The sequence below is a fragment of the Homo sapiens genome, chromosome 7 (genome assembly GCF_000001405.40).
Source record: "Homo sapiens chromosome 7, GRCh38.p14 Primary Assembly".
Lineage (NCBI taxonomy): Eukaryota > Metazoa > Chordata > Mammalia > Primates > Hominidae > Homo > Homo sapiens.
Genome location: NC_000007.14, coordinates 20,655,065 through 20,682,423, shown reverse-complemented (window position 1 = coordinate 20,682,423; position 27,359 = coordinate 20,655,065). Strand labels below are relative to the sequence as shown.

General features: G+C 39.0%; 1 protein-coding gene across 4 annotated transcripts in view; it reads right to left on the bottom strand.

Annotated features, from left to right (window-relative positions):
* Window positions 1-27,359, bottom strand: part of ABCB5 (ATP binding cassette subfamily B member 5) — a 141,342-nt gene that overhangs the window by 74,585 nt on the left and 39,398 nt on the right. For 2 of the 4 annotated variants that reach the window (NM_001163941.2, NM_178559.6), the window contains 2 exons: window positions 23,748-23,918; window positions 758-919 (listed from right to left, as the gene is read on the bottom strand). In NM_001163941.2, the coding sequence (NP_001157413.1) occupies window positions 758-919; window positions 23,748-23,918 (333 nt within the window). Of the gene's footprint in view, window positions 1-757; window positions 920-14,857; window positions 15,666-22,020; window positions 23,359-23,747; window positions 23,919-27,359 lie in introns of those variants that run through there. The other 2 variants (NM_001163993.3, NM_001163942.2) reach the window with 2 other exon arrangements.

Genomic DNA, 27,359 nt, shown 5'->3' with positions numbered 1-27,359 from the left:
TGAAGCCTTTTGTGGGTAATATAGCTCTGTCTCTCCCCATCAATCTTGCTTTTTCTTTTTACAACTAATAATATCTATATGCACAATTTTGCAATTTGCCTCTGTAGCTGAGTTTTAAGTCTTTAAGTAAAGACTGTGTGTTATATTTCTTTGTGTTCTAACCAAACATCACAGTATCTTCCACATACAAGTTTTTGTTTGTTTGTTTGTTCGTTTTTTTGAAATGGAGTCTCGCTCTGTCGGCAGGCTGGAGTGCAGTGGCGCAATCTGGGCTCACTGCAACCTCCGACTCCCTAGTTCAAGCAATTCGCTTGCCTCAGCCTTCTGAGTAGCTGGGATTGCAGGCACACACCACCACACCCAGCTAATTTTTGTGTGTTTTTGAGAGACAAGGTTTCACCATGTTGGCCAGCATGGTCTCGATCTCCTGACCTCATGATCCGCCCGCCTCGACCTCCCAAATTGCTGGGATTGCAGGTGTGAGCCACCCTTTCTGGTCACATACAAGTTTTGAAGCCTATTTGAAGTGTGCCTGGCAGATATTAGGTACCAGGTACCCATTAGTTCTTCAACTTTCATCATATTATTGAGCACAACACTGAGGATTTGAAACACTCCATTTCTTTACTGAGGAACTATAAACCTTGGTTGCTTTTTGAAATTTAAGATTATAATTTGCAACTTTTGTTTTCTAGTGTGGTATGATCTCTGAAACGTTAAACCCTGCTGACATAGCATTATGTCACATAAGCATTACCTGTGACATCACAAGTGAATAATATAGACCTCGTTTTGCCATTAGTTCAGCATGTGCTCCTTTCTCCGCCAGCATTCCATCCTTTAGGGTCACAATCAAATCTGCACTTCGAATAGTAGAAAGTCGGTGTGCTACCACGATTGTAGTCCGACCTTTGCTCGCCTACAGAATAAAATGCATAGAAAATAAATAGACATTAGTAGAAATAACAACCTTTGCACTGTTTAAGAAATCTTTGTTGACCCGGCATGGTGGCTCATGCCTGTAATTCCAGCACTTTGGGAGGCCGAGGAGGGTGGATCACCTGAGGTCACGAGTTAGAGATCAGCCTGGCCAACATGGTAAAACTCCATCTCTACTGAAAATACAAGAATTAGCCAGGCTTGGTTGCGGGCACCTGGAATCCTAGCTACTTGGAAGGGTGAGGCAGGAGAATCGCTTGAACCTAGGAGGCAGAGGTTGCAGTGAGCCAAGGTCATGCCATTTCACTCCAGCCTGGGCAACAGGAAACTCCGTCTCAAAAAAGAAGACAGAAAGAAAAAGAAAGAAAGAAAGAAAGAAAGAAAGAAAGAAAGAAAGAAAGAAAGAAAGAAAGAAAGAAAGAAAGAGAGAGAGAGAGAAAGAAAGAAAGAGAAAGAAAGAAAGAAAGAAAGAAAGAAAGAAAGAAAGAAAGAAAGAAAGAAAGAAAGAAAGAAAAAGAAAGGAGGGAGGGAGGGAAAGAAGAAATCTTTGTTGCAGTATTGTTTTAAATATTCAAGTATCTTATCCTTGGGCAGAGAAATTTGGAAACTTTAATAGAATAAGAAGGCCAATAGAAATTAGAATAAAAAGAAAGTCAGAAAGTTAATTGTTTTCATCTTTAAAATGGGGATATTACTTAACTAGTTGGGTACAAATTAAAAGTAATATATATTTTTAACTTTTTTACAAGTATCATTAATATATGGAAAAATGCACATAAGGGTACATACAGATCAGTGCATTTCAAACGGAATTTGCCCGTATCATGGTATCCAGGTCAAGAATCCCATCATTACCAGCACCCACAAGTCCATCTCATGCTCTTTTCAAGTCAGTCGGTTTTTTTTTTTTTTTTTGAGACGGAGTCTGGCTCTGTCGCCCAGGCTGGAGTGCAGTGGCGCAATCTCGGCTCACTGCAAGCTCCGTCTCCCGGGTTCACGCCATTCTGCCTCAGCCTCCTGAGTAGCTGGGACTACAGGTGCCCACCACCACGCCCGGCTATTTATTTTGTTTTATTTTATTTTCATTTTTAGTAGAGACAGGGTTTCACCGTGTTAGCCAGGATGGTCTCGATCTCCTGACCTTGTGATGCACCCGCCTCGGCCTCCCAAAGTGCTGGGATTACAGGCGTGACCACCGCGCTCGGCCTCAAGTCACTCTTAGCACTCACCTATACCAAGGGTCACCACTATCCCGATTTCTAACAGCATAACTTGTTTTGATTTTCTGGTAATTTATATAAATGAGATTGTGCATTGTATACTCTTCTGTATCTGGGTCTTTTCACTCAACATTATGTTTTTGAGATTCATCCATTTGGTTTTATAGAGTTGCGGATAATTTATTCTTATTGCCACACAGTATTCTATTGCGTGACTATACCACAACTTATTTATCCATTCTATTCCTGATTGACATTTGGATAGTTTTTAAGTTTTTTTTTCCCCCTACTATTTATAGGTTGCTGTAAATGTTTATTTGATGAACATATGTACACAGTTCTAGTGTTACACCTAGGAGAGGAATTGCTGAGTCGTAAAGTGTGTATATGCTCTGCTTCACTAGATTCTGCCAAATAGTTTTTCAAAGTGGTTGCCCTATTTTATAAACCCCCCAATAGTGCAAGAGAGCCATGGTTGCTCTATATTCTGACTAAGACTTGGTTCTTTCTGTCTGATGGGTGAGAACTATCATATTTTTATTTGCATTTTCTCGATGACTAATAAAGTTGAACAACTTTTCAAATGATTAGTGACAATTTGGATATTCTCTCTTGTGAATTGTCCACATTTTTTCTCATTTTTCTATTAGAACTGTATTTTTCTTTTCAATTTTCATGAGTTGTTTATATACTGTAGAAGTGAGAACTTTGTTAAATACCATGTATTACAATGAAAGTTTATGTGATTGTCTTTTCACTCTCTTTCTCTCTCTCTCTCTTTTTTTTTTTTTTTGAGATGGAGTTTAGCTCTTGTTGCCCAGGCGGGAGTGCAATGGCATGATCTCAGCTCACTGCAACAGCTGCCTCCCAGGTTCAAGCAATTCTCTCCTGCCTCAGCCTCCAGAGTAGCTGGCATTACAGGCACCTGCCACCATGCCCAGCTAATTTTTTGTATTTTTAGCAGAGATGGGGTTTTACCATGTTGGCCAGGCTGATCTTGAACTCCTGATCTCAGGTGATCCACCCACCTCAGCATCCCAAAGTGCTGGGATTACAGGCGTGAACCACCGTGCCTGGCTTTCTTTTCACTCTCTTAATGGTGTCTTTTCATGAACAGAATTTCAAAATTTTAATGAAGTCCAATTTATCAATTTTTTTTCTTTTACAATTTATGCTTTTTGTGTAGTTTTAAGAAATCTTTACTCCAAGGTCACACAGATGTTTTCCTATGTTTTACCTTACAATCTTTGTCATTTGCCTTTCATATTTGGATGTGATATGTAACACCTGGGATTAGTTTTTGTATGTGATGCCAAGTAGAAGTCAATGTACATTTTCCCCATAGAGTTAACCAGGTGTCCCGGCAGCGTATTTTGAAGACCATCATTTCCCTACTATACTGCAGAACTGCCTTTACCATAAATCAGGTGACAATTGTTTTGTGTCTGTTTTTGTATTCTATTTGCTATTGGGCTGGTCAGCTTGTCTGTCACTGCACCAATGCTATGCTGTCTTAACTACTAAAGACTTAAAACAGGTATTGAAAACTATTAGTTTACCTCTTCAAGCTTATTCTTCCTCTGAAAGATTTTGTGGACTATTCTTGAGGTAATGTGTTTTTTTTTGTTTTTGTTTTTGTTTTTGTTTTTGTTTTGTAAATGCCTAGCACAATAACTGACACTTCTGGCACTACAGATTTGCCAGGGAATCAACAATCGACAGCTAGTATTGTTACTATTCATACTATTACTGTGTTACTGCTATTTACTTTTCTTATTCTTATCTATTATAGAGCAGGAAAATGGAACTCAGAAAGTTAAGAAGCTTGTTCAGGGCCTCAGCCAGTCACTGGAAGGACTGGTACTAAAACCCAGTGTGGTTTTCCCTCTTCTCTCCACAAGGTCTCTTCATTGCAATAGATAAACTTGATGAAGCAGGTGATAATTTCTTTCAAACTTTTTTCCAAATCTATAAGAGAAGGGAACCTCCCAAAGCATTGGCTATTAAGATTAAATGATAATGTGGAAAAGATGTATGATATAATGCTACCTGTAAAAATGCAGGAAAAATATGTATCCTATTATAATTATGTTTTAAAAAAATTTCCCATAAAAAAGACACCTATGTAGAAATATATCAATATACTAATAGTACCTGTTCTTACTTATTGGATCTATGGATTATATTTTTCTCATCTCAGTTTTCCCAATTTTATTTAATGTGCATGTATTGCACTTTGGTTTAAAAGTAAGAAAGATTTAGAAGGGCATGACTCTTGGCTTAATGCTCTGCTGCTGTCATTCTGGAGTTCTTAATAGTTTTTGAAGAAGAGGCTCTACATTTTCATTTTGTGCTGGACCCCACAAACTATGTAGCTGGTCTTGATCATTGACAGAGGTAAAAAGGATTCAATGTGAGTCTACTTCAGCTGGTTTTTCCCACATAACAGATATTAAGGGAGTCATTTAAACAGCGGGACTAGGTAGAAAGAGGGGCAAAGGGTACTTTTATAAACTAAATTAATTAATTAATTATTGAGACAGAGTCTCGCTCTGTCACACAGGCTGGAGTGCAGTGGTGTGATCTCAGCTCACTGCAACCTCCACCTCCCGGGTTCAAGCGATTCTCCTGCCTCAGCCTCCCGAGTAGCTGGAATTACAGGCGTGCACCACCACACCCGGTTAATTTTTGTATTTTTAGTAGAGACAGGGTTTTGCCATGTTGGCCAAGCTGTTCTTGAACTCCTGACCTCAGGTGATCCACCTGCCTCTGCCTGCCAAAGTGCTGGATTACTGGCAAAGGGCAGTATTTTTTGATGGTTAAACATTTATCCAAGTCAGGACAGATGTCAGGACTTTGATAACTGATTTTTAGTCTGATACTAAAAATCAGACTATAATTATTATTCAGCTTCTAAATCTGTATCCTTAATCCCCATTTCCTGTCACAAAAAGTAGGTAGAATGGACAGTTATGCTCCCCTCTAGCAGCCCTACCTGTGCTTCGGAGCTCTTTTCTAAAAGTATATACTGAGATAATATGACTGGGATCAAATTTCCCTTTATATTTTTAATTTAAAAGCAAATTATCACACTGCATGAATAGCTGAACAAGTTTTATGAACAACAGACTAAGAAGACTAATGATATAGGAGTGAAGTCCACACTGTCTCAATAAAAACTCGTAATACAGTTAATCTGACAAATATCATGATGGATGTAACTATAATAATTAATACATTACAAGGTAATTAACTACAAAACAGCAAGCAGTATATATAGATTATAGTGTATGACTTTTATAATGACAAATCTAGTATTCAATAATTTCATCATTTGTGTTTTCTGGAGTTGCAAGTCCTGGGTTTGGATCTTGTTTCTGCCAATTTCTGTCTTGGAGGACTTAGACAAGTTTTTTAACCCCCTAAGTCTTATATTCTTCATTTGATAATAGGGAAAATTACACTACCTCTATTTTAGAGTTATTGTGCAGATTGATTTTTTGTGGTAAGAACACTTCACATGAGATCTATCCTCTTAAAATTTTAAGTGTACAATACAATACAATATTGCCAACTATAGGCACAATGTTGTAGTGTTAATGTCTAGAACTTATTCGTCTTACATAAATGAAATTTTATTCCCACTGAACAGCAATTCCCTGTTTCTCTCCCTGCTCATTCCCTAGCAGCCACCATCCTATTGTCTGCATCTACAAGTCTGACTGTTTTAGACACCTCATTTAAGAGAAATCATGCAGTATTTGTCCTTCTGCGACTGGCTTATTTCACTTAGCATAATGTCATTCAGATTCATCCATGTTGTTCCATATGGACTTCCTCCTTTTTAAAGGCTTATTAATATTTCCTTGTGTAGGTATCATATTTTTCTTTATCTGTTAATCTGCCAATAAATATTTAAGTTGTTTCCATATCTTGGCTATTAGAAATAATGATGCAATGAGCATGGGAGTGTATATACCTCTTCGAGATACTGACTTCAGTTCTTTTGAATATATATTAATATATCCAGATTATTGGAATTAATGTGCGTATTCTTATACATATGTGTGTGTGTGTGTGTGTGTGTGTGTGTGTGTATGTGTAGTAGAATTGCTGGGTCACATGGTAATTCTATTTTTAATTATTTCTGGAACCTCCATACTGTTTTCCATAGAGACTGCAACTTTTTACTTTCCATCAGTCATATACAAGGGTTCCAATTTTTCCACATCCTCACCAACACTTATTTATTTATTTATTTTTTAACAATAGTCATCCTAATAGGTGTGAGATATCTCATTGTGGTATTGACTTACATTTCCCTGATAACTAGTGATGTCAAGAATCTTTTCACGTACTTGTTGGCCATTTGTATGTCTTTTTTGGAGAAATGTCTTTTCAACTTCCTGGCCTATTTTTAAATCAGGTTATTTATTCTTTATTTTTGTTTTTTACTATTGAGTTATAGGAGTTCCTTATATATTTTAGATATTAATCTCTTACCAGATATATGGTTTCCAATTTTTTTTTCCTTTTTGTAGGCTACCTTTTCATTCTGTTGATTATTTCCCTTGTGGTGCAGAGGCTTTTTGTTTGATGTAGTCCTACCTATTTAATTTTGCTTTTGTTGTTTGTGTTTTTGGCATCATATCCGAGAAATAATTGTCAAACTTAATGTCATGAAGCTTTCCCACTACGTTTACTTCTAAGAGTTTTACAGTTTCATTTTAAGTTTTACAGTTTCTTATACTGATGTCTTTAACCTATTTTGAGTTGATTTTTGTGTATGGTGCAGATAAAAGTCCAGTTTTCATTCTTTTGCATGTGGACATCCAATTTTCCCAATATCATTTGTTGAATAAACCATCCTTTCCCCATTGTGTACTCTTTGCACCCTTGTCAAAGGTCAGTTGATTATATATGCATACATTTATTTCTGGGCTTTCTATTCTGTCCCATTGGCCTCCATGTTTATTTTTAGGCAAGTACTATACTGTTTTAATTACTATAACTTTGTAATGTATTTTGAAATCAGGAAGTGTGATGCCTTCAGCTTTGTTTTTCTTCTCAAGATTGATTTGGATATTTGATATCTTTTGTGGTTTCTTATTAATTTTAGGGTGAGTTCTTTATTTCTGTAAAATATGCCATTGGGATTTTGATCAAGGTTATACTAAATCTGTAGATTGCTTTGGGTAGTATTGACATTTAACAATATCAAGTCTTCCAGTTCAGGATCACGGGATGTATTTTATTTGTGTCTTCTCTAATTTTTTCATCAATGGTTATAGTTTTCAGTGTACAAGTATTTCAGCTTCTTAAGTTTATTTCTAAGTATTTTATTCTTTTGATACTGTTGCAAATGGGATGTTTTAGTTATTTTTTCAGAAGATTTGTTGTGAACAGAAATGCAACTAATTTTTTTATGTTGATTTTATATCCTGCAACCTTACTGAATTCATTTATTAGTTCTAACAGTTTGTGTGTGTGTGTGTGTGTGTGTGTGTGTGTGTGTAGTCTTTAGAGTTTTCAAATTTTAAGATCATATGATCTGCCTACTTTTTTTTTTTCTTATTTGACACTTCTTTTTTCTTTTTCTTGCCTAATTGCCCTGGCTAAGAATTTCAGGACTTTGTTGAATGCAAGTGGTAAGAGGTACTATAGGTGTTTTTGTGTGTTTGTATACCATGAGGCTTATATAAAAACCTTATATTTGTGACAGTCTATTTTAAGCTGATAGCAACTTAACTTCAATCATTACATATATAGGAACAAACATAAAGATGACAGATTTCTCCTCAGAAAAAAATGCAAGAAAGGAGACAGTGAGCAACATCTTTAAGGTATTTAAAGAAGAAAAACCCTATAACTTTCAGGCTAAAACTCTATATCAAGGAAATAAATTTTTCAAAACTAAAGGTGAAACAAAAACATATGACAGCTGAAATTATTCATCAGTAGTGGGACTGTGCTACATTAAAGGTTTCAGGTAAAAGGAATCGATGGAAATATGGATATACACAAAAGAATGAAGAACACTGGAAATTGTAACTCCGTAGTGCATGGAGAAAAATGTAATTTTTTCTTATTACCTATTTAAATTTTTTTAAAAACTAATGATTAATTTTAAAAGTTACAATGTGGCATGGAGTTTATAACATATGTAGAAGTAAGATGTCTAATCGCAATAGCTTAAAGGCCAAAAAGGGAGAAATGGAAGTATGCTAATTCATGCTTTTATACTACACATGAAATAATATAATATCACTTGAAGGTAGATTGTCTTAAGTTAAATGTGTACACCATAAACTCTAAAGCCATCACTGAAATATCAAAGTTCTATAAATAAGCTCACAAAAGAGATAAAACAAAATCATAAAAAGTACTCACTTAATCCAAATGAAGACAGAAAATGAGTAAAGCAGAAACCAAGAATCGATGCAAAAAAGAAAACAAGTAGCAAGGTGACTGATTTAATTTAATAATATACTATCAATCATCAGATTAAATGTAAATGGTCTAAACACTCCAATTAAAAGTCAGAGATTTTCAGTTTGAATACAAAAGCAAGACCCAACTACGTGTCATCTGTCAGTAACACATTTTAAATATAAAGAAACAAAGAGGTTAAGACTAAAAGGATAAAAAACTCATACCATGCTAACACAGAGTAAAAGAAAAATGGAGTGGCTATGTTAATATTAGATAAAGCAGATTAAAGTGAAAAGGATATAACCAAAGTAAATAAGTTTATTTCCTAATGAATAAGGGCTCGATTCATCAAGAGAACATAACAATCCTAAATATTTATGTGTGTAATAACACAGTTCTAAAATACATGACACCAAAATATGTACAATTACAAGAATAAATCTAAAAGTTACAGTAATAGTTGAAGAATTAAATACCCTTCTCTCAGTAACTGATAGAACAAGTAGACCATAAGGACAAGGAAGAGATGAATAATAGTATCAACCAACTCAACACAATTGACATTTATAGAACATTTCATCCAACAATAGCAAAATGCACATTATTTTCAAGTGTACACAAAACATTTACTAAGAGGGACCATAATCTGTGCCATAAAACGACTCTTAATAAACTTACTTGTATTCAAGTCATACATGAATACTCCCTGACCGTAATGCAATTAAATTAGAAATCAATACAGAAAAAATATCTGGAAAATACTCCAATACTGAAACCAAATAAAATTTTTCAAGTAAATGACTTCATATGTAACTTAAGAAACAAGAAAAAGAAGGGCAAGTTAAACTCAAAAGAAAAAGAAAAAATGGAAGAAAAGAAATAAAAATCAAAGCAGAAACCAATTAAATACAAAAGAGAAGAATAAACTCAAAGACAGACAAATACATCAATATGACGCAATGGAGTCAACAGTCTGGAAAACAACTCACACATATATGAACAACTGATTTTTTACAAAGGTGCCAAGAAAAATCAGTGTAGAAAAGATAATTTTTTCAACAAATTGTACAGGACCAACTGGAAGTCTATATGCAAAACAAACAAACAAACAAAAGGAACCTTAAACTGTACCTTATATCACATATAATAATTAACTCAAAATATAAAAACTACAAACTATAATACCTTCAGAAGAAAACAGAGGAAAGTCTTTGTGACCTTAAATTTGGCAAATATTTCTTTCTTTCTCTCTTTTAAAATTTTATTTTACTTTAAGTTCCTGGATACATGTTCAGAACTGGAAGGTTTGTTACATAGATAAATGTGTGCCATGGTGGTTTGCTGCACCTATCAACCTGTCACCTGGGTATTAAGCCCCACACTCATTAGCTATTTGTCCTGATGCTCTCCCTCCCCTCATCCTGCCAACAGGCCACAGTGTGTGTTGTTCAAAGATTTCTTAAATATGACACCAAAACCTTGATTTGTAAAAGAAAAAAAAAAAACTAATAAATTAAACATCAAAATTAAAAATTCCTGGCCTTTGGAAGACACACTTAAGACAATAGAAAGCCAAGCCCTAGAATCAGGAGAAATATTTTCTAATCCTACATCTGATAAAATACTTGTATCCAGAAATATAAAGAATTCTCAAAACCCAGTAATAAGAAAACAAACAACTCAGTATAAAATGGGCTAAAGATTTGAACAGACACTTTAACAAAGAAAAAAATGTGGATGGTTAATATGCACATAAAAATGCTTAACATCATCAGTCATCAGGATAATGCAAATTAAAATGACAATGGGATACTACTATACATTTCTTCAGATGGCTGAAATTAAAATAAATGACCATATGAAGTGTGGGCAAGTTGTGGAGTAGCTGGAATTTTAATATATCTCTTGTAGAAATGTAAAAGAAAAACAGTTTGGCACTTAACTATAAAGTAAAAAGTATACCTACCATAAGATTCAGCCATTTAAATCCCAGGTATTTACTCAAGAGAAATAAAAGCTCATGTCTATACAAAGACTTGCATATGAATGTTTAGAACAGCTTTATCTGTAATATCCCAAAACTGAAAACAAACCTAATAATTCAAATGAGCATCCATACCAATTAGTTTAAATTGTGGCATAGTCATAAGTAGAATACCATTTATCAATAAAAAGAAACAAACTATTGATGCATTCTACAACATGGATGAGTCTCAAAATAATTATGCTGAATGAAAGAAGCTAGACCTAACAGAATACATATGATATTGCTCCCTTTATATAAAGTTCTAGAAAATACAAACTAATCTCTAGTGGCAGTAAGCAAAACAGTGGTTGCCAAGGATCAGGGGAGGAGGGCTGGAGAGGGTCAGGGTGAAATGGTTACAAAAGTCATGTGAAAAGTATGGCTGACTATCTAGATTTTGGTGTACATATACGCCAAAATTTTTCCAATCATATGTTTTAATATGTACAGTTTCTTATATTCAATGAAACCTCAAAAAACTGTTAAAAACAAAAATCAAAGTCAAATAAAAGAAGCAAATACATTCAGCAGCCCAGTTGGTCATTCTAAAGTTCTGCAGGAATCCTGAATGAGACTGAGACATTTTAATGAATGCCCTGCAAAAATAATGACAAAGTAGATTGGGGACAACTGTGATATAGAGTTGCAGACAGGCAGATTTCGGTATTTTTAACTGGAAATTAATTATCAGCATATGTAAGTTTCTATGGGTCATTTTTATGGTATAACCTACTCTACAGTAGAAGAGAGTTATACTAAGCACTAACATGCTTAGTGCTTTCTTTATTTTCTGATATTGTCAAGTTTATGAATATTTTATTAAACTAATGAGTGACTGATACGTGGGGAACAGGTTTTTATTGCTTGCTTCTTGCTTTTCTTTTTTTCTTTTTATTTCAGGTGGAATTTCGCTCTTGTTGCCCGGGCTGGAGTGCAATGGCACGATCTCGGCTCACTGCAACCTCCGCCTCCCAGGTTCAAGCGATTCTCCTGCCTCAGCCTCCCAAGTAGCTGGGATTACAGGCATGTGCCACCACGCCTGCCTAATTTTGTATTTTTATTAGAGACATGGTTTCTCTGTGTTGGTCAGGCTGGTCTCAAACTCCCGACCTCAGGTGATGCGCCCACCTTGGTCTCCCAAAGTGCTGGGATTACAAGCATGAGCCACCGCACCCGGCCAGCTTGCTTCTTGTTTTTCTCAGTCTCGCATTTACTTTGGTGTGGTAATTCTAAGCCTCGCTTATACAGCACACCCTTATGAATGGTATAACAAAATTGGTTAAAAATGTGAGTCTTTTTTTTAAGTAAACACTGAGTTCCCACTCACTGCCTTCCAGAAGGTTGCCTCAGTTGGATTTGGGGCTCATCGGTGACATGTGCTCCATGGTGTAGTGCTGTTAACGTCAACCTTTTTTTTTTCTTTTTCTTTTTTTAGAATAGCTTTAGATTTACAGAAAAATTGCAAAGATAGTGCAGGAAGCTTCCATGTACCCTGCGTTCTAACATCTTACATTTCTATGATGCATTTGCCACAACTACTGAACCACTATTGACACATCATTATCTAAACTCCATATTTTATTCAGATTTCTCTAATTTTCAACTCACGTTCTTTTTCTGTTCTAGGATCCCCATCCCTGAATATCCCAGTACATTTTGTCATCATGTCGCCTTAGGCTCCTCTTGGCTGTTACAGTCTCTCAGATTGTCCTTGTTTTTGATAAACTTGATAGTTTTAAAGAACACTGGTTAGATGTTTTGTAGAATATCTCAATTTGAGTTCGTCTGATTTGTCTTCCTTTTTACAGGTAAGATATTCAGCCTATGCTGATACCACTCCTCTCTTTCACACTTCAAGTTTGAATTCTATTCTGGGTCTTGGAGACCTGGGACTTGCCTACAGCCCTTTAAAAGAGAGTCCCAGAAACTGTTGTTGGGTTGGTATGTATTAGAAACCTGACAACCGCGAAGGCAAAAACACTCAGGCACCTAGCCTACTGGCTCATATTTATTTAATAAATCTCTATTTATTCTGTTTCCTCAAAGTTACGAATGTTATTTTCTTTTTTTTTTTTTTTTTTTTATTGATCATTCTTGGGTGTTTCTCGCAGAGGGGGATTTGGCAGGGTCATAGGACAATAGTGGAGGGAAGGTCAGCAGATAAACAAGTGAACAAAGGTCTCTGGTTTTCCTAGGCAGAGGACCTGCGGCCTTCCGCAGTGTTTGTGTCCCTGGGTACTTGAGATTAGGGAGTGGTGATGACTCTTAACGAGCATGCTGCCTTCAAGCATCTGTTTAACAAAGCACATCTTGCACCGCCCTTAATCCATTTAACCCTGAGTGGACACAGCACATGTTTCAGAGAGCACAGGGTTGGGGATAAGGTCACAGATCAACAGGATCCCAAGGCAGAAGAATTTTTCTTAGTACAGAACAAAATGAAAAGTCTCCCATGTCTACTTCTATCCACACAGACCCGGCAACCATCCGATTTCTCAATTTTTTTCCCCACCCTTCCCGCCTTTCTATTCCACAAAACCGCCATTGTCATCATGGCCCATCCCCAATGAGCCGCTGGGCACACCTCCCAGACGGGGTCGTGGCCGGGCAGAGGGGCTCCTCACTTCCCAGTAGGGGCGGCCGGGCAGAAGCGCCCCTCACCTCCCGGATGGGGCAGCTGGCCGGGTGGGGGGCTGACCCCCCCCACCATCCTCCCGGACGGGGCGGCTGGCCAGGCAGAGGGGCTCCTCACTTCCCAGTAGGGGCGGCCGGGCAGAGGCGCCCCTCACCTCCTGGATAGGGCGGCTGGCCGGGCGGGGGGCTGACCCCCCCACCTCCCTCCCGGACGGGGCGGCTGGCCGGGCAGAGGGGTCCTCACTTCCTAGTAGGGGCGGCCGGGCAGAGGCGCCCCACACCTCCCGGACGGGGCGGCCGGCTGGGCGGGGGGCTGACCCCCCCACCTCCCTCCCGGACGGGGCGGCTGGCCGGGCAGAGGGGCTCCTCACTTCCCAGTAGGGGCGGCCGGGCAGAGGCGCCCCTCACCTCCCGGACTGGGCGGCTGGCCGGGCGGGGGGCTGACCCCCCCACCTCCCTCCTGGACGGGGCGACTGGCCGGGCAGAGGGGCTCCTCACTTCCCAGTAGGGGCGGCCGGGCAGAGGAGTCCCTCACCTCCCGGACGGGGCGGCTGGCCGGGCGGGGGGCTGACCCCCCCCCCCACCTCCCTCCCGGACGGGGTGGCTGCCGGGCGGAGACGCTCCTCATTTCCCAGACGGGGTGGCTGCCGGACGGAGGGGCTCCTCACTTCTCAGACGGGGCGGTTGCCAGGCAGAGGGTTTCCTCGCTTCTCAGACGGGGCGGCCGGGCAGAGACGCTCCTCACCTCCCAGACAGGGTTGCGGCCCAGCAGAGGCGCTCCTCACATCCCAGACAGGGCGGCGGGGCAGAGGTGCTCCCCACATCTCAGACGATGGGCGGCCGGGCAGAGACGCTCCTCACTTCCTAGATGGGATGGCGGCGGGGAAGAGGCGCTCCTCGCTTCCTAGATGGGATGGCGGCCGGGCAGAGACGCTCCTCACTTTCCAGACTGTGCAGCCAGGCAGAGAGGCTCCTCATATCCCAGACGATGGGGGGCCAGGCAGAGACGCTCCTCACTTCCCAGACGGGGTGGCGGCTGGGCAAAGGCTGCAATCTCGGCACTTTGGGAGGCCAAGGCAGGCGGCTGGGAGGTGGAGGTTGTAGCGAGCCGAGATCACGCCACTGCACTCCAGCCTGGGCACCATTGAGCACTGAGTGAACGAACTCCGTCTGCAATCCCGGCACCTCGGGAGGCCGAGGCTGGCGGATCACTCGCGGTTAGGAGCTGGAGACCAGCCCGGCCAACAGAGCAAAACCCCGTCTCCACCAAAAAAAAAACGAAAACCAGTCAGGCGTGGCGGCGTGCGCCTGCAATCGCAGGCACTCGGCAGGCTGAGGCAGGAGAATCAGGCAGGGAGGTTGCAGTGAGCCGAGATGGCAGCAGTACAGTCCAGGTTTGGCTCGGCATCAGAGGGAGACGAGGCAGAGGCAGAGGCAGAGGCAGGGGCAGGGGCAGGGGCAGGGGCAGGGGCAGGGGCAGGGGCAGGGGCAGGGGCAGGGGCAGAGGCGAATGTTATTTTCCAAAAGCAAACAGATCTCAAATCTTATTCATGAAGCCACGTGATGTGACCCATTAGCTCAATGATTTCACAATACTCTCCAACAGTTCTCAAATTAATGTGTATGGAATTTAATTAGAAAATATAAAAGAGAGCATTAACACGTCACAGTCTAAGGAGAATTTGAGAGGACAGAATATAAAGTCAAACAATTAAAAGGTTGCAACTAGAAAAGGTCTGAGAATTCCATGTATCCTTCTGTGCACAGAATCAGAATCACAGGGTTTCCTGATACAGGTTTATATTGTTAGAGACCTTCTTTTCTTCACAGGGGATTCACTTCACAGGTGTTTTAATATATATCTCTTCTCATATTTATTTACTTATCAAGCATTTCATCTGTGTCATCTTTACTTTGCCAGGCTCCTGGCCTAAACTATAAATATTTGATTAAGGTAGATATTATGTTACAATTTAACTTATTATAGCATGAATTTGTATCTGAGTGCATCAAATAAATCACAGAAATATCTAATAACTTAAAAGGGAAAAAACTGTGCCTCAGAGGTCCATAAAATGGGCCTACATGTACTGTACATATTCAAGGTACTATCAAGTGTACTAGAAAAATACATCTCTACTAGATCATTCATGTGACCTAAAACCGATATACTCCTCATAGTGAACAACAACAAAATATTCAACTGTAATTGCTTCAGACTTAAAACACAGAAGAGATTTTGGCAGCCAAAGCCTGCTAAAAAACTGATCAGGAAAATTTGAGCTGATGCTGTCTTTTAGCCAGAATTAGTGTAAAGATTAGGGAGATAGTGCAATTCATACCACTGTGGTTCCAGATACCTCAACGTAGATAGTGTGGTAGATTATCAATACGTCTTTGTTGTATTATTTTTTCTAGAAAATACAATATTGAAAGAATTTCCTAGTATCTCCTATCCTACTTCACAGATTACACAAAGCTAAAAGCCAAACAATTAGGTATTTGACCAAACAAAGGTCACCAGGAAGACAGGTCTCTACTTGACACTTTGCTGACATTTTTCAGATTACTTTACAATTCCATGCACAGCCATACATCACCAGGTCATTATTTTGGACTTTGAAAAAGAGGGTGCTTTAAAACATCCCTCCCAGAATTGCTAGGCAGAGATACGGACCTGAGGAGATCAGCTAGATTCTCACCAGTGATGGTTATGGGACTTGCCGTAAACATAGAGGGCAGCAGGAAAAGAAAGGAAAATAATACAAAGCCTCAAGCATTTGAGAGGGTCCATTACCAGGCATAACACAGTTTCTGGGAAAGCGTGTCAGCACAGAGAGTTCTAGTAACCTGGGGGCAAGTGTGGCATAGAAAACCTACGAGAACACAAGTTCCCACTCACTGCCTTCCAAAAGGTTGCCTCAGTTGGATTTGGGGCTCATCGGTGACATGTACTCCATGATGTAGTGCTGTTATCGTCAACTTTTTTTTTTTTTTTTTTTGAGACAGAGTTTCACTCTTGTTGCCCAGGCTGGAGTGCAATGGCGTGCTCTCGGCTCACCGCAACCTCCACCTCCTGGGTTCAAGCGATTCTCCTGCCACAGCCTCTCAAGTAGCTGGGATTGCACGCATGTGCCACCACGCCCGGCTAATTTTTGTATTTTTAATAGAGACAGGGTTTCTCCATGTTGGTCAGGCTGGTCTCAAACTCCTGACCTTAGGTGATCCGCCTGTCTCTGCCTTCCAAAGTTCTGGGATTACAGGCATGAGCCACCAGGCCCGGCCCAACATTTTTTTTTTTTTTTTAACTGCAAAATCCTTTCAACAAATAGAAGCTCATCTGGAAGCTTGTATATCTATATCTGTATGTATGTATGTATGTATGTATGTATGTATGTATGTATCTCTATCTATCTATCTATCTATCTATCTATCTATCTATCTATCTTTCCATCTCTATCTCATCCAGATAAATGGATCACTGCATTGCTTGAATTGGCAGGGGAGTTGGGGGTACGGCCCTACCTGCTTGTCCACCTCACTTCCCCACCTCTCTCAGTCCTTGAGAGGCTCCTTGGAGACCCTAGTACCCTAGTACTCCAAGAATACAGTCTGAGAACTTCTCACTACTCTTCAGTGTCATTTCTTTTAGGCTATCAAATTTTAGCTGGTCATCTTTTATAATAAGGTCACCATGGTAGTTGAACGGGAAACATAGGCCTTTTGTTTCTTAACTACCTGACTGTGATGTTGAAAGCCAATTGGCTTAATGTTCTTCTGGGTCGACATGGGTTCCAGGGCTCAACAATGTGGGGTTACTGTCAGACCACGTCACTGGTCCGAGAATGCTTTCTTTTTTGTCAAGGGGGATGACAAATAGCAAAATATCAGGAACTTAGAAGTCACTTTTAATGGGTGACTCACCTGCTCGTTGACCCTTCTTTCCAGCTTGCAGAAATCTACTCATGTGAATGCATGAATGCTTGGGTTAAGACCCTTTAGAAAAGAAACACTTTCAAAATGTAAACTCTGCTAAAATGAACCCACGTGTACTACCTAATTAGGAACGTGAAATAATAACATAATAATGGTAAAATGTTTTCTTTTTATGGCCTGGAATCTCTTCATTGTCACTTCTAAATAAGTTAACATGAAGGTTAAGAATTAGAGATAACATAAAATTATTTATCATCATTTAATACCTTTTCTCTTCATTGAACTTTTAAAAAATCATTTTATTATTTTATTTACAGACAAGGTCTTGCTATGTTGCCCAGCTGGTATTGAGCTCCTGGTCTCACGTGATTCTCCCACTGTAGCCTCCCAAGTAGCTGGGATTACAGTGTGAGCCACCACTCCCAGCTTTACTTAACTTTATTAACAAGCTAATCATTTAAGTATTTGTGGAGAAATTTACAATAAAAAATAAATGATGAAGTAAATGGTGGGTAAGAAGAGTAAATGGTGGGTAAGAAGAGAAAATGCTGCAATAATTAGTTTATTTTTTTCCATAAGGGCATAATAGCTTACCTATTTTTATTCTTGGTAAATAATACATTGAGATCACTTATTTGATAGCACTTAGGAAAATCAGTATCTTCTATAGGCATTTTCCTTATTTTGGGAGGAAGGAAAGGCTTAGGAATAATTTTAATTTACAAAAATCACCAAGATGCTTATCCATATCATGGAAAAATATTTTATTATGTCTTAGAAGACCTTTTAGTATATTCTTTAAAACCTTGGAATGTCCTGCTAAGTAACAGTGACCTAAATTTATAAAAGAGAATTCTACTAGTTATTTATACAATAGTATAAAAATAAACAACTTACAGGAACAAAAGTGGTTTTAACCCACATGAGAGCTTCGATTTGGAGTATGGTTTGAATTTCTTTCCCAAGAAGACAGTGTGAGTGTGGTTTTCCAAAAAAGGCTAGTTGTGTTTTGTTTTTAAAATTGTGGAAAAATATGCATAATACAGAATTTACCATTATAGCCATTTTAAAGGGTATGATCCTTCTGACTCTGAGAGGCCAAATTCCTCTTTGTCACTATTCTTTTATTTATTAATTTTTTTTCACTGTTCTTTTGTACTCAGGCTTAGATTACTAATCTCTCTCTCTCTCTCTTTTTGGTAAAAAAAAAAAAAATTGCCTGACTGGGCGCAGTGGCTCATGCCTGTAAACCCAGCACTTTGGGAGGCCGAGGCGCGTGGATCATTTGAGGTCAGGAGTTCGAGACCAGCCTGACCAACATGGTGAAACCCCATTTCTACCAAAAATATAAAAATTAGCCGGGTGTGGTGGTGTGTGCCTGTAATCCCAGCTACTCTGGAGGGTGAGGCAGGAGAATCGCTTGAACCTGAGAGGCGGAGGTTGCAGTGAGCTGAGATCATGCCACTGCACTCCAGCCTGGGTGACAGATCAAGATTCCATCTCAAAAAAAAAAAAAAAAAAAAGCCTAACATAAAATTTGCAATCTTAATCACACTGTTGTGCGACTGTCACCACTACCCATCTCCAGAACTTTCTCATCATCTCATATTCAAATTGTATACCCATTAAACACTAACTCCCCGCTTTCCCATCCCCCAAGCCCCTAGTAACCGCTCTTCTACTTTCCATCTCTGAATTTGACTATTGTATGTATCTCATGTGAGCAGAATTAAGCAATATGGATCCTTTTTTGTCAGTTTTATTTCACTTAGGATAATTCTTCAAGGTTTATTCATGTTTTAGCATCATCAGAATTTCCTTTTAAAAACTGGTAGTATTCCATTGTATGTATATACCACATTTTCTTTATCCATTTATCTGTAAACAGACATTTGGATTGTTTTCACCTTTTGGCTACTGTAGATGATGCTACTATGAACACTAGTATACCAATATCTCTTTGAGACCCTGCTTTCAATTATTTTGGGCATATACTCAGAAGTGAAATTTGATAATTCTATGTTTATTAAGAGGTTTGAAGCCTGATCTGGAATCGGTTTTAGCTCCACCTCCCGGCAGTGTAATCTTGAAGCAATATAGCCTGGTGGTTACAAGAATGAGGCAGAAGGATGAGTGGTCTGGGTTCTGGCTTCACTGTGCCTACCTATTACTTAACCTCCCTGTGCTTCAGTGTATTTTACAGCTCAACTGTAAAACAGGAGAATAAATGTCTTAATCTTATATGGATCTTGTGAGGATTAGCTGTTATCATCCATTTGTTCCTTTGTTACATCTAAAATAAGGACCCACAAATGGCTTCGGGGGTCTATGACTCCCTCAAGAGTACGTGTAAGTCTTTTTGTATAAGTGAATTTGTATACTTCTCTAAAGAGTTATGGTGGTTTATTTTTCCCTTTCTCAATCAGATTCTCAAAGGGGCCCTGATCTATCAAAGGAGAAGGACCATTACTCTGAAAGAAGTTAGTGGCTTAGAATTTAACATCAAGCGCTACAAATGTGAGCTTGATTAAGCAGGTTTATAAAATATCCAATCATGTTTTTTGCATGAGGTAGTCTGTGTGTTACCTTTGATTTTCTGTCTAAATTTCAGCCAAGGAAATTCCCTTGGAGAAATTCCCTTTCTGTTCCCAACTATTACAGTGTTGCTATAAATGATTTTTCAAAATTCCAAATACAGAGTGAGATGTTTAATTGACACAGACATTCAAAATGTGTGTGCATTAGTGTGTGTGTGTTTGTGTGTAAAATTTACTCTGACCTAACTTCGACTTTGGATAATCACTTCTTAGAACTTAATTTAATCCAGTGGCCGGCAGCTTAATGTAATACACCAATTTCCTTATTGTCCAGTCCTCTAAGTAGTATAAATACAACATAAGAGGTCTCCGAGGAAGACCAACGGGGCGCATCATAGGGAGAAAGCACAGTGATGGTTAAGACGTGCCCGTGAGGGCTGCAATAAAGCAACCCTGTGTTTTCAAAGAATAATATTGTGATGATAACTCTTCCTTCATAATTACCAAAGAGGTTCTCCATTGATGTGGTGTGGCCGAAACTCCCTTAATAATAATGATGCCTTAGATTTGCATACCACTTTTAACATTTCACAGAGCTTTCACAGGCTTTATCACAGAATCAGTGTGGGTTTCCTTGGCTTCCCCAGGGGCCTGCAGGTGCTCACTGCCATGTCTCCTACTAGTGGGGCAGCTTGGAAACCTGCTGCATTGGCACACCAGGTCAAAACAAGTAGCAGAGTGAAACTCACACCCTATGACATGAACCTTTATTCACTGACGCTAGAAATTCTTCTTGAACATTAGTGAAACAAAACTAGTTTGTAGTTATTCTAAATCCAGGAGTCCAGAAAAGAACATTTCAGGTCTCGCTGGGCGCGGTGGCTCACCCCTGTAATCCCAGCACTTTGGGAGGCTAGGGCAGGCAGATCACAAGGTCAGGAGGTCAAGACCAGCCTGACCAACATGGTGAAACCCTGTCTCTACTAAAAATACAAAAATTAGCTGGGCGTGGTGGTGCGTGCCTGTAATCCCAGCTACTCAGGAGCCTGAGGCAGGATAACTGCTTATCCCAGGAGGCGGAGGTTGCAGTGAGTGAAGATCATGCCACTGCACTCCAGCCTGGGTGACAGAGTGAGACTCGGTCTCAAAAAAAAAAAAAGAAAAAGAAAAGAAAGAAAGCAAAAAAGAATATTTCTGGTCTTAGAAGTATCCTGGATCACACTCATCGAAGTCCATCCAACAATATCTGTTGGCTGTTTGTTAAGGGCCAGCATTGTTCTAGAGGTGGGGATGCTGCAGTTAATCACTCAAAGCCTTCACCACCAGAGAGTTTACGTTCAAGTGGAGAAAGAGAGACAATAGCAAAATAAACAAACATATACGTTGTGTGTTAGCTAATGAAAAGTGTGAGGGTATGTTTAAGAAGCAGGCATTGTTGGGGCGAATGGTAGGAAGGGAAGTTCCAGAAGGAGCTTGGAGCCCAGCTCCATAGAGCCTTGTGCTTACTGTAAGGAATGTGGCTTTTACTTAGAGTGAGGTGGGGAGTTATTGGATGATTTGAAGTTGAAGTACGATGTCACCAAATTTTCATTTGAATAGCAACACTTGGCTGCTGTGTTGAGAACAGATTGAAGTGGGCATGGGCTGATGCAGAGTTAGCTACTGCAATAGTCCAAGTGAGGAAAAGGGTGTTAGTGCCTTCATGTTGCTGTTTAGTTAGAATTCACCCCTGCCCTAAGAAACTGCTGACCTGATTTTTTAATACCATTGATTGGTTTCACAGGTTCTAGAACTTTGTATAAGTGGAAGATAAATGACTAATGGAGAGGAGGGGATGGAAGGGATATGTGAGGGCAGGTTGTGGAGTGAAGTGGGTATAGATTCTATCACCAGGGAGGAGGGATACACTTCATTATGTCTTCTTTCGTTGGTTAGTGGCTTGCAGGATATTTTGAGCAGCATAAAACTGTTAACTGTGTGGGTTAGGCTGTATGATATAACAGAGTCTGGGGCCTCTTAGACAGCTGATCAGGAATGAGACCTGCTGGATGTCCTACCTTTCTTACCCAGGGCCCCCTCCAAGGGCTTGGTTCCATAACTGCAGTCTATGGTGGTGAGAGGAGAGGGCTGTCATGGTGCTACAGCTTCCATCACCCTGCCTGTATTTGAACTCTCCCCTTCTCCATAAGCCATTTTCCAATAAACTGAAGAGTATATGATTAATCTAGTTTACTGTGCTACTTTTCATCCTATTGGTTACCCTTTATCCTGACCCAGCAAACCATACATAAAGCAGTTTCACACCTATTTCTACATTGATTTAATCTCTTTCTCCTTTAAACAACTGAAAAACAGGGACAGTAAATGAATTTTTGAAATAAGTTAAATTCCCCCATAATTATGCCACATAGCTGTTATTATTTTCATATATTGCCTTCATTTTTTTCACAGTTGCTATTTTGTGTAATTTTGGAATCAGTTTACAAACATTCTGCATTCTTCTTTTTTCACTTTTGATAGATGTTTCATATTAACCAATAAGAATAACATTTATTAGTTTATCATGTCACCAAGCAACTATTTATTTTAAAAGTCTGAACTAGTTTTGATTACCTAAAGTGATTACCAGTGGATGAAAATACTGCGGGCACAACATGAAACCTTCTAAACAATCAGAGAGCCTATTACAATACATTTTTTAAAATCTTATGTAACTGGCCGGGCGCGGAGACGCACACCTGTAATCCCAGCACTTTGGGAGGCCGAGGTGGGCGGATCACCTGAGGTCAGGAGTTTGAGACCAGCCTGGTCAACATGGCAAAACCTTGTCTCTACTAAAAATACAAAAATTAGCTGGGTGTGGTGATGCACGCCTGTACTCCCAGCTACTCAGGAGGCTGAGGCAGGAGAATCGCTTGAACACAGTGGGCAGAGGTTGCACTCAAGCATGGGTGACAGAGCGAGGCTTGAATATAGTCTAAATACAGATCCCTGTCCTAGTTACTAAGTATAAAAAATGAATAAAATATTAGTCCTGTCTTTGTATTTTCTGTACCAAGATGAACCAAATTGCCGAAGTGTCCACAGTAAACAAAGATTATTTATCACACAAGCAACATGTGGCATTGTTATTATGGGAGGGAAACAAGCGTTCAAACTTGCACAATCTGATTTGCTACTAAATAATAGTAACTAAGAGATTTTTCAAGAAGCAGTGGACATTTAGCCTGCCAGTATCCGTTTCTGGTTCCATAAAGTCAGCATTTTAAAAAAAGAAGCCTGCGATTTTCTTAGAGAAAAAAAAACGCTTAACTCACTTCCAAGCAAATGCAAAGTAAAATGTGCCATTAAGCCTTGTAAGGGGTCTGAAGGCTCTGGTTTATAAGGGAGTCAGGCCATCGAGAAAACTGTTCAATGGTTTTTCATACCGCCACTGCCAACTCCCCTCCTAGATTCAGTGTAATTTGGTGCAGGGCCACAACTGCATATGGCCTTGAGGTATGTGCAGTAGCTCATAGGCAGCAGGAGGTCAGGGTGAGGTTTGAGGGGCCAGAGCTGTCGAAGGGCGCTGGTTCAAGGTCAGCGATTCTCCACTTGAGGTGAAATTAGGTCAAAATGAATACCTGGGGGTATCCTAAAGAAGAAAAGTGGTCAGAGAAGAGAATCCCACAGGTGTATGTAGAAGAAGCAAAGGGTGGGCATGGTTATAATAGTGATGATAGTGGTGGGCCACTCTAGGGAGGTGGAAAGTGCAAACCACTTGGAATGGAGGTATAGACTGGATGATTGCTTGTGTATCAGCCTCATGTATATATTTTTACACCAACCAACCACAGCATCTCCTTCTGTCCTCTAAACCACTTCCTATAGCCATCACGTAAGTTCTCAGTGGATTAACATCCTGCCTTTATACCTTAAGAGGGCTCTCAACTTGAGTAATCTATTACAGATCTATACTTTCTTGTACTTCAAAACAATAATGAACCAGGAGTATGGAAATAAGAAACGTTTCTGCTCACTTACCTTCTCCAGTGCAGCTTGAACAGCTGACTTGCTTTCTGAATCCAGGGCAGACGTAGCCTCATCTAAAATCAGAATCTTGGGGTTTCGAACTAAGGCACGAGCAATTGCGATCCTCTGTTTCTGCCCTCCACTCATTTGAGCTCCTTTTTCCCCTACCAATGTATTAAATTTCTAATGAAAAATAGGAAAGAAGCACAGAAACAGAAGGCAGCGTGATCAAATGGTTAGAACAGGAAATGACAATCCCAGTTGTGTTTTAATATCAGCTTAATCAGTACTTCAGCCTCTGGGTGCTTATGTCTTTTGATTTGTTCTTTGTGAAAACAAACCGCTGTAAAAAAAAAAAAAAGAGCCCAAAGAAGAGAGGACATAAGAAAAATTTGGCTAGGACTAAAATAAATTAGACCTCATTATAATCAAATGTATTTAGAAAAATTAATAATAATTTAAACTAATGTCCAAATCTCTTTTAGATATTTTTAGAATGCTTTGAAATCTTTAAAAGAACCACTGTAATACAAATACCTATTTTCTGCAGTGTTTATTAGCAATTTGGTATGTTACCCACAATTTCCTTCCTGGATACTCTGAAAAACAGCATGAAAAAAAATTGCTACCAAAACAAACTTTCCCCTAAAACGTTTTTTCCATCTTGAGATACTTTTTAGGTGTTCTTTTGATTTGTTTTAAAATAAATTTATCTTTAACAAAGTAGATATTTTGTCTTCCATATTTGTGGTAGGGGTAACTTCTAGCGCCCAGGAAACATGGCTAGTAATATTCTACTGGGTTACGTCCCTGATTCAAAGTTTATTTCTTCACGGAGATAAATTTAAATATTCTTTCTAAACCCTTAATTTCTAGAGATTGATCTTCACATTTAAAAAATCAGGCTTTTTGAAGAAATTTACACACAATAAAATGCATCCATTTTAAGGATATAAGTCTATGAGTATTGACAAATGAGTACACCCATGTTACCACCATACCAATAAAGATATAGAACATTTCTGTAGCCCTAGTAAGTTTCCTTATGTCACTTTTTTCAGTCAAAACCCATACCATGCCTGCAGATACCGCTGATTTGATTTTTATCACTATACATGAATTTTCCTGGATCTAGAACTTTATGTAAATGAAATCATACAGTATGTACTTCTTTGGCTTGTTTCTTTTACCTAGCTTAATGTTTTTGATATTCATCCATGTTGTATCAGTTGTTCACTCCTATTTATTGCTAAGTAGTGTTCCACACAATGCGAGTTTACCTTGGGTTGCCAGATTTAGCAAAAACAAACAACACACAAGAAAACACAAAGCTGTTACATTTGAATTCAGAAAAGCAATGAGTTTTTTTTAGTATAAGTATGTTTTATGCAATATTGCTAAAAAATTATTCATTATCTGAAATTCAAATTTAACTGGGAATCCAGTAGTTCATCTGGCAACTCTAGATCTATCACAATTTGTCCGGGTGTGGTGGTTCACACCTGTAATCCCAGCACTTTGGGAGGTTGTGGTGGGTGGATTGGTTGAAGCCAGGAGTTTGACACCAGCCTGGGCAACATGGTGAAACCCTGTCTCTACAAAAAATACAAAAATTAGCCAGGTGTAGTGGCATGAGCTACTCAGGAGGCTGAGGTGGAAGGACTGCCTGAGCCTGGGAGCCTGGGAAGTCGAGGCTGCAGTGAGCTGAGATTGTGCATTGCACTCCACCCTAGGTGACAGAGTGAGACCCCATATCAAAAAAAAAAAAAAAAAAAAGAAAAAGGAAAAAGAAAAATTAGATCTATCACAATTTGTTCATTCAACTGCTGATGAACACTTAAATTGTTTCCTATTTTTGGCTATTATAAATAAAGCTGCTATGAATATTCATGTACAAGATATTTTTGTGGTCATGTTTTCATTTATTTTGAATAAATACCTAGGAATAGAATGCTGAGTCATAAGTGTATGTTTAACATTATAATAAACTGCCAAATTGCTTTCTAGAATGATTATACTGATTTCACTTTTATTTGAATGAATGAGAGATCTAATTGCTTACATCATCACCAAAAGTTACATTTGTTAGTCTTTTTAATTTTGGCCATTCTAAGAGTGTAAAATGGTATCTCATTATCGTTTTATTTTAGAGTTCTCTGGTGACTAATAATGGTGCATATTTTCAATATATGTATTGTTCATTTGATTCTTCTTTTGTAAAATGTCTGTTCAAATTTTTGCCCATTTTTAATTTCTATTTTTTGTCTCCTCATCAAGCTATAGCAGTTCTTTATATATTCTGGATTCATGTCCTTGTCGGACATGTATATTATAAATATTTTCTTGTGCTCTCTGTCTTGCCTTTTTGTTTTCTAAATGATGTCTTTTAAAAAGGAGGTTTTAACTTTAGTACACTCCAGTTTATCTTTTTTTTATAGTAATGCTTTTCAGTCTAAGAAACTTTTGCCTCTCTCAAAGTTACAAAGATTTTTTCGTAAGTTTTAATTTTTGAAGTTTACGCTTTACAATTTTGGTACAAGGTCTATGGCAAATTAATTTTTGTGTGTGATGTAAAGTAAAGGTCACATTTTATTTTTTCCACAAGGATAACCATTTGTTCCAGCACCATTTGTTGAAAAGATATTTCTTTCCCCCACTGAGTTCCATTCGCCTTGTCAAAAATTAACTTAGTAGATATTTGTGAATCTATTTCTGGTCTCTCTGTTCCATTGTACTGATCTATACAACCATCATTATGCCACTACCACGATCTTAATTGCTGTCTTAAAATTAGATATTTAGGTCCTCCAGCTTTGGTCTTTCTTTCAAAATTGTTTTGGCTATTGTTGGTCTTTTGAATTTCCAAATAAATTTTGGAATCAACATGTCAGTTTCTACACATACACATAAAAACTGGTGAGATTTTGATTGATAAAGCACAATATTTATATATCAACTTGGAGAGAATGCAAATCTTTAAAAATATGGAGTTTCTAAATCAATGAATAAGGTACTTTCTATTTCTTTAGATCTTTTCATGTCTATCAGCATAATATAGTTTTTACTAGAAGACTTGCACGTCTTTCATTAAATTTATTCTTAAGCATTTTGTCTGTTGATGCTTTGTGAATACTGCTTTTTATTTTAATTTCATTTGTAACTGTTGCCGTTATTTAGACATCTAGCTTTTTTTGGGGGGCTGGGGGGAGGTGCGGGGGAGCAGAGTCTTGCTCTGTTGCCCAGGCTGGAGTGCAGTGGTGCTATCTCAGCTCACTGCAACCTTTGCCTCCTGAGTTCAAGTGATTCTCCTGTCTCAGCCTTTCGAGTAGCTGGGATTACAGGTGTGCACCACCACACCCAGCTAATTTTTTGTATTTTTAGTAGAGACAGGGTTTTGCCATGTTGTCCAGGCTGGTAACAAACTCCTTTCCTCAAGTGATCCACCTGCCTCAGCCTCCCAAAGTGCTGGGATTACAGGACTTTATGTCAAAAAATGCCCAGCTGTTTATATTTCCTTATTAACCTTTTAATGTCCTTAGAATCAATAGTCATGTACCTTCTTTCATTCCTGATACTGGCCATCTCTTTTCTCTCTCTCTCTCTTTTTTCAGCTTTGCTACAGTT